The 8671-nt window shown below is 45.8% G+C and overlaps 1 annotated feature.

Moving 5' to 3' along the window:
* Positions 7669 to 7855: a silencer, noted in NCBI's record as "fragment chr8:131759497-131759683 (GRCh37/hg19 assembly coordinates)". NCBI's record gives its function as "represses an EF-1alpha promoter that drives an FKBP-Casp9 reporter gene in an ReSE screen in K562 erythroleukemia cells {active_cell/tissue: K562}" and the evidence as "EXISTENCE:reporter gene assay evidence [ECO:0000049][PMID:32094911]".

Here is an 8671-nt window from a genome sequence, read left to right as displayed (position 1 = left end):
CATTAGTTTGCTGAAGATAATGGCTTCCAGCTCCATCCATGTCCCTGCAAAGGAAATGATTTTCCTTTTTAATATTGCATAGTATTCCACAGTGTATATGTACCACAGTTTCTTTATCCTGTCTATCATTGATGGGCATTTGGGCTGATTTCATGTCTTTGCTACTGTGAATGACACTAGGATTTTTCAAGGATAATTTGGTGGGCAAGGGAATGGGTGCTGCTGATTGGTTGGGGATGCAATCATAGGGGTGTGGAAAATGGTCCTAAGAAAATGTGCTGAGTCTCTTTCTGGATGGGACCATAGGGCCAGTTAGTGGGTCCAGGTGGAGCCATCGGTCATCAGAAATGCAAAAACCTGAAAAGGCTTTTCAAAAGGCCAATCTTAGATTCTATAATAGTGATGTTATCTGTAGAGTAATTGGGGAAGTTGCAAATCTTGTGACCTTGTAATCATTTATGTCTACACCTTAACAGAATTCAGGCTCCTCTCATCCTCCTAACCTGATGGTCTTTCATTAGCTTTACACAGGTGGTTTAGTTTTGCAGGAGGGCCATTACCATTTAAATTTATAAACTAAATTTCTCCCAAAGTTAGCTTGGCTTACCCTCAGGAATGTCTAAGGGCTGTTTGGAGGTTAAAAGCAAGTGGGGATTGGTTAGATCAGCTCTCTTTCACTGTCATAATTTTCTCAGTGTTATAACTTTTGCAAAAGTGTTTTCAATGACACCCACTCCAGTCTCCAACAGTCAAGAACAAATAGATCCTCAAAGTCTTCCATGGAAGATCCCTGGGTAAGGGGGTGGGGTGGCTATGAAGAGGTCATGGACAGCCACATGCCACCTTGGGGACTCAGAAGCCCCCAGTCCATGTCCTCTCTCTCAGACCTGAGAGCCAGGAACCCCTTTAGATAAAGTCTTGGATTTCCAGAATGGGCCCTGGCCACAGCCGAGAGTCACTGGGGCTGTTATACCCTTTGTTTTGCTCAGGGTGTTGATTTTCTCAGTTGCTTAAAGATCCCACTGCCCAATTTAGCTCAAGCCTCAGTCTCAGGTTACAGCCTTCCTCCTGCTCATTAGATTCATTCTTGGCTGTCATCATTTTAATTTCTTTTCTCCATTTTTTGGTGTGAGGCCTGGACAGAGGAGCTGCCCAGAGTGGCAGGGGGGCCACTTGGCAAGTCTCCAAAGCCTGCAGAGGGAATGCCATTAGCTTCCAATCCACAGTGCAGGAAGGGAAGCTGAGCTCCTATAGGGTTTAGGAGAGCAAAGGCTCAGCAGAAAACAGGAAAGTCTGGGGTTAGGCTCTTGCTTTTCTGAAGCAGAGGGAGGCTGGGAGCTGGCACTGGCGAGACTGTTCTGAAGAACACAAAAGAAGACAAGGACAGGGAGGAGACGGAGGCTATTTCAAGCATGCATACAACTACCAATCACAGAAAGTGCAGGGATCCTCATGAAACTCCTGCAAGACAAGATGATTTGAATCATCTTTGCAGGCTAAAATATCAGACAACAGGATTGAGACAAGGTGAAAGATTCACCAGAAATCAGAATTCTTCTGTTTATCTCCTTTGTGTTAGGTCACATCTGCCTTCAGAGAGACAGTAGAGTTCCAAGTTCAAAGGCTGCCTCCACTTGTGCTAAGCTGCAATGCCCTGGATAGGTGTTTAATCTCTTTGAGTCTTGGTTTCTCATCTACGCAGAAAGGGACTAACAAGAGTACCCTCATAAGGTTGTTATGTCAATTCAATGTAACCCTGTGCACAAAGCCACTACTAGCCAGGCCCAGCCCACGTAGCTCCCAAGACAGGATAACAACAGATGTGTTCAGAAATAAGGCTTTGGTGTAGGTTGTGGGAATGGTTCTCCCAGCATTCTGCCATCGGTGGAGAAAGAGCACCAGACAGAAAGGGAAAGGCAAGCCTTGTCCCAGCTCTGTCCTTCACCGACGAGTGCCTTAGCGTCTCTGTGCCTCACCTCCCAAATTCTATGATCACCTTGGGTGCCAGATACTCTGCAAGATCAAGGGACAGGGTACCAAACAAGGCAGGTGTGGTCTTGCCCTCCCTCAGCTTACAGACCCTTGGAGAGTGGGACAATTAACACATAAATTCCTAAATAATGTGTGATCCATACAATGTAAAATTCTATATATCATGAGTGAGAATGATAGCTAGGAAGTGGGCACAATTTGTGCAACACTCATCAGTTCTTGTCTGAACACATGCCTATATGCCAGACCTTGTTCCACATTGGAGGTCCATTGGGAACTGAAAGCAGCCCTGTCCCAAACATCCTAGTGATTGGAAGGCCACAAACACTCAAAACTAACTTACAAAATAAAGAAAGAAAATCACTTCTGATAATGGTAAGCACTTTGAAGAAGCATGAGAGAATGTGGGGGCTACCTTAAGTGGGAAAGTCATCCCTGGGGAGGTTATATTTTGAGCTCAAACCTGAAGGAACAAGCCATGATAACCACACCAGTCTCAAAATGAGGTGGTAGACAAGGATTCCTGATCAACTGCTGTACGAATCCGAGGTGGTGCTGTTATATGTTCCAAATGCTGGCATCTGGCCCACACCCCACCCTGACTCCTTGTCCCCACCCCCAGGGCCCCAGTGATCTGAGACTGGGGCACTGGGCATAGGGATAGGTGGGTGTTTACACAGCTTGATATGGTTTGGCTCTGTGTCCCCACTCAAATCTCATCTTGAATTGTAATCTCCACATGTCACGGAAGGGACATGGTGGGAGGTGACTGGATCATAAGGGCAGTTTCCCCCATGCTGTTATCGTGATAGTAAGTGAGTTCTTATGAGATCTGATGGTTTTATAAGGGTCTTCCCCCTTTGTTCTCTTTCTCTTTCCTGCTGCCTTGTGAAGAATGTACTTGCTTCTCCTTCCCCATCCTCCACAATTGTAAGTTTCCTGAGGCCTCCCCAGCCATGTGAAACTGTGAGTCAATTAAACCTCTTTCCTTTATAAATTATCCAGTCTCAGGTATTTCTTTACAGCAGTATGAGAACAGGCTAATACAGGAAATTGGTACTGGAAGTAGGCATTGCTATAAAGATAACCTAAAAATGTGGAAGCAAATTTGGAATTGGGTAATGGGCAGAGGTCAGAACAGTTTGGAGGTCTCAGAAGAAGACAGGAAGATGTGGGAAAATCTGGAACTTCTTAGAGACTTGTTGAATAGTTTTGACCAAAATGCTGACAGTGACATGGACAATGAAGTCCAGGCTGAGGTGGTCTTAGGTGGAGATGAAGAACTTATTGGGAATTGGAGCAAAGGTCACTCTTGCTATGCTTTAGCAAAGAGACTGGCAGCATTGTGTCCCTGCTGTAGAGAACTGTGAAATTTTGAACTTGAGAGAGTTGATTTAGGGTATCTGGCAGAAGAAATTTCTAAGCAGCAAAGTGTTGAAGAGGTGGCTTGGATGCTCTTAACAGTGTACAGCAATATGTGCTCGCAAAGAGATAGCTTGAAATTGGAACTTATGTTTAAAAGGGAAGCAGAGCATAAAGGTTTGGAAAATGTGCAGCTTGACCATGTGGTAGAAAAAAAACTCATTTTCTGTGGAGGAATTCAAGCTGGTGGCAGAAATTTGCATAAGCAACAAGGAGCCAAATGTTAATAGCCAAGTCAATGGGGAAAATGTCTCCAGGGCATGTCAGAGCCCTTCAGAGCAGCCCCTCCCATCACAGGCCCAGAGGCCTAGGTTTCATGGGCCATGCCCAGGTCCCCATTGCTCTGTGAAGCTTTGGGACTTGTTGCCCTGCATCCCAGTCACTCCAGTTCCAGCCATGGCTAAAAGGAGCCAAGGTACAGCCCAGACCACTGCTATCCACAGCCCAGTACTACATAGAAGCTTTGGCAGCTTGCATGTGGTGTTGGGCCTGTGGGTAGACAGAAGACAACAGTTGAGTTTTGGGAACTTCTGCTCAGATTTCAGAGGATGTATGGAAACACCTGAATGTCTAGGCAGAAGTCTGCTGCCGGGGCAGAGCCCTCATGGAGAACCTCTGTTAGGGCAGTGTGAAAGGGAAATGTGGGGTTGGAAGCCCCACACAGTTTCCCCACTGGGGCACTGCCTAGTGGAGCTGTGAGATGAGGTCTACCATCCTCCAGACCCCCGAAAGGTAGATCCACTGAAAGCTTGCACCATGCACTTAGAAAAGCCACAGGCACTCAATGCCAGGCTATACCCTGCAGACCCACAGGGGTGGAGCTTCCCAAGGCTGTGGGAGCCCACCCTTTGCATCAGCATGCCCTGGATGTGAGACACGGAGTCAAAGGAGATCATTTCAAAGCTTTAAGATTTAATGACTGCCCCACTGGGTTTCAGACTTGCATGGGGCCTGTGGCCCCTTCGTTTTGATCAACTTCTTCCATTTAGAACAGGAACATTCACCCAGTCCCTGTACCTCAATTGTATCTTGGCAGTAACTAACTTGTTTTTTATTTTACAGGCTCATAGGTGGAAGGAACTTGTCTTGTCTCAAAAGTTTTTGACTTTTAACTGAAAAGTCCAAGTCTAAAATGAGACTTTGGTGTTAATGCTAGAATGAGTTAAGACTTTGGGGGATAGCTGGGAAGGAATGATTGGTTTTGAAGTGTGAAAAGGACATGAGATTTGGGAGGGGCCAGAGGCAGAATGATATGGTTTGGATCTGTGTCCACACCCAAATCTTATCTCGAATTGTAATCCCCATGTGTGGAGGGGAGGAATTTGGTGAGAGGTGATTGGATCATGGGGGTGGTTTCCGCCATGCTGTTCTTTTGATAGTGAGTGAGTTCTCATGAGATCTGATGGTTTGATAAGGGGCTTGACAGTTCCCCTCTAATGCTTTCTCCTGCTGCCATGTAAGACACCCCTTGCTTCCCCCTCAACTTCCGCCTCAATTGTAAGTTTCCTGAGTCCTCCCCAGCTATGTGGAACTGTGAGTCAATTAAACCTCTTTTCTTCATAAATTACCCAGTTTCAGGTAGTGTCTTTATAGCAGTGTGAAAACGGATTAATACACAGCTCTACTAGATGGAGGCCCAAAAGGCACCTCCTGCACATGCTGCCCCTTCTCACCCAAGCAGCACCAGGCCTCTATAAAAAGGATTCATAACTAGGCTCCGCACAGGCCCACAGTTCTGAAGCTCAAGGAGCAGTGACAGCTCTGCTTCCTAATGCAGGGACAAGCAATCAGGAAATCTGCAGAGGCCTTCAGCACGGCAACAGCCTTGTCCAGGGGACACGCTTTCCTTTGCTGCCATCTTCTGGTCAGACTGGGGAACAGAAGCCTGAAGTGAGAGGTTCTTCTTCTCCAAGGAAGCTTAACTAACACCAGAACGACTTGGAGCTGTTCTAGGTGCTGGTGCTGGTGCTGGAGACAAAGCAGAGGACTAAACAGGCAAAAGTCCCTGCCCTCCTGGAGTTTATATTCCAGCTGGCTGTCTCAGATGCAGCTACATGAAGGCTGAGTCATTCCTGTTTGACGGAGGAAATGATGAGGTATAAAGAGGTAAAATATTGGCCCAGACCACACAGCTTGCAAGTGAAAAAGCAGAATTTGAAGAAAGTTTCCTTTGCGTAACACCCTCTTGCCTCCCTGTAAGCCTGTCAAGAGGATAGGAGGTTGGCTCCGAGTAGGTGTGATGGAGGCAAGTGGCAAAGCCTGAGAGAGTGACAATGTGCTGAAGGAAAGAGCCCTAGGCCAGGACTCTGGAGACCTGACTTCGGGTCTTGGCCCTAGCACTTTCTAGCTGTGTGACCTTAAACAAAACAGTAAGTGTCTCTGGTCATCTGCAAAATGGGCATAATGAGACCTATGTTACCTATGGTTTCTTCATCCCACCACCAACTTATATTAATACCTGTCATGTGTGGGTGGCCATCTACTAGAAGTTGGGGTCACAAGGCTGGTAAAGTCTTTATCCCCCTCTAGTCCTCTCTCCCGTGTTGAGACACAGCCTTCAGGCTTCCAGCACTCTACAGTTCCCCTCTTTCCTGCTCTTTACAGCTGTGGTCACTTTGGTCCCCCAAGTTTCTCCCATCTGGCTGCCTCCTCCTGTCCTCACATCTGTACTTGAAGTGGTCCCCATGGTCAGTCAATGTAACAACACTACCCTTCTCCCTCTCTTGCCCCAGCCAGAAGTTGTGAAATGGCAACACCAGCAAAACTATTCTAACTGAAACCTCCTATTTCCAAATGCCCCAGACCTTCTAATTACCTACGGGCTCTATCTGATATGTGGCCTCCTTTCTCTGTCCCTATTGCCATGGCACTCTTAAGCTGCTGACTTCTGTTTCATTTCTTCCCCAGATTTGCTTCTAGCAGAAGCTGTCTACCTTCTGTGTCTCCACTGCCTTACCATTGGACTCTCCAGGCTGACTTCTGTCCTCACCTCATCTGTGATGGTTAATACTGAGTGTCAACTTGATTGGACTGAAAGTATTGATCCTGGGTGTGTCTGTGAGAGTGTTGCCAAAAGAGATTAACATTTGAGTCAGTGGGCTGGGGAAGGCAGATCCACCCTTAATCTGGTGGGCACAATCTAACCAGCTGCCAGGGAATATAAAGCAGGAAGAAAAATGTGAAAAGGAGAGAGTGGCCTAGCCTCTCAGCCTACATCTTTCTCCCATGCTGGGTGCCTCCTGCCCTCGAACATCGGACTCCAAGTTCTTCACTTTGGGAACTCAGACTGGCTCTCCTTGCTCCTCAGCCTGCAGACAGCCTATTGTGGGACTTTGTGGTTGTGTAAGTCAATACTTAATAAACTCCCCTTTATATATATATATATGTGTGTGTGTGTGTGTGTGTACATATATATATACACACACATATATACACACACTTAACAAACTCCCATATATGTATAAGTCTGGGTTTCAGACTTGCATTATATATGATTAAGTACTAATATATATATACTAATATATATATACTAATATACATATATCCTATATACTAATAGGATACATATATCCTATATTTTATATATATATATATATATAAGTTCTGTCCCTCTAGAGAACCCTGACTAATACATCCTCCTAAGTACAAAGTCCTATTGCCACTGTTGTTGCACTTGACATAGCCCAGCATGGCCTGCATCTGTCTTGATGGATTCTCCTCCCTTGTCTCCTGGCCCATCACACTCTCCTACCTCTGAACACTCTGTCCTGGATCACTAGCTACAGGAAGAGTCCCATTACATGGGCTCTGCTGAGAAATGCAATCCCATTCCTGTTGTTTAAGTTGTTCCCTGCCTGCCACCCTACTCCCAACCCCACTCCTTGGTCATGTGGTCTAAGATCCTTCCAGATGCCACAGCATTTACTGGGCACTGACTACACTCTAGGAATTGGTCTAAGCCCTCTTCTTGAATTATCTTATTTATTCCTCCCAACAATCCTATTAGGTGGATGATATTTTCCCAGTATGACAGATAAAACTGAGGAGTTTAGCCAATGTCACAAAGCTAATAAGCAGGACAATCCATCTCCAAAGCTTCCCTCTTACCTATGAAATATATCCTCTGAAATTCACTGACAGAGAACCCATGAGAACTTTGGTCCCCCAAAGGATCATCCCTGAGGGGTGTCAATGTCACTTGATTATAGGCTCTTTGTGGGGTAGGGGTTTAAATGAGATTTTCTGTAGGGTCCAGCCCTACGGGCTTAGCAGGTGTTCTCCCCATGTGCAGTGATGAGAGACTGTAAGAAATAAAGACACAAGACAAAGAGATAAAGAGAAAACAGCTGGGCCCGGGGGACCACTACCACCAAGATGAGGGGACCGGTAGTGGCCCAGAATGGCTGGGCGCGCTGACATTTATTGCAAACAATACAAGGGGGACAAGGTAAGGAGGGTGAGTCATCCAAGTGATTGATAAGGTCAAGCAAGTCATGTGATCATGGGACAGGTGGCCCTTCCCTTCTAGGTAGCCAAAGCAGAGAGGGAAGGCAGCATACGTCAGCATTTTCTTCTATGCACTTGTAAGAAAGATCAAAGACTTTAAGACTTTCACTATTTCTTCTACCGCTATCTACTACGAACTTCAAAGAGTAACCAGAAGTATGGGAGGAACATGAAAGTGGACAAGGAAAGTGACCATTGAAGCACAACACCACAGGGAGGGCTTTAGGCCTCCAGATGACTGTGGGCAGGCCTGGATAATATCCAGCCTCCCACAAGAAGCTGGTGGAGCAGAGTGTTCCCTGACTCCTCCAAGGAAAGGAGATTCCCTTTCACGGTCTGCTAAGTAATGGGTGCCTTCCCAGGCACTGGCATTACTGCTTGACCAAGGAGCCCTCAAGTGGCCCTTATGCAGGCATGACAGAGGGCTCACCTCTTGCCTTCTAGGTCACTTCTCACAATATCCCTTCAGCACCTGACCCTATACCTGCCGGTTATTTGTTATATTAGTAATACAACAAAGAGTAATATTAAAAGCTAATGATTAATGTTTATATTAATGATTGATAATGTCCATGATCATCTCTGTATCTAATTTGTATTATGACTATCCTTATTCTAACTATTTTCTTTATCATACTGAACATTTCGTGCCTTCAGTCTCTTGCCTCAGCACCTAGGTAATCCTTCGCCCACATTTTCAGTGCCATCAGAGCAGTTTCCCTTCATAAAATCTATAACAATTCTGAATAAT

Source organism: Homo sapiens, chromosome 8, assembly GCF_000001405.40.
Source record: "Homo sapiens chromosome 8, GRCh38.p14 Primary Assembly".
NCBI lineage: Eukaryota > Metazoa > Chordata > Mammalia > Primates > Hominidae > Homo > Homo sapiens.
Note: the sequence above shows the minus strand (reverse complement) of the source record. Positions and strands in the feature narration are given on the sequence as shown.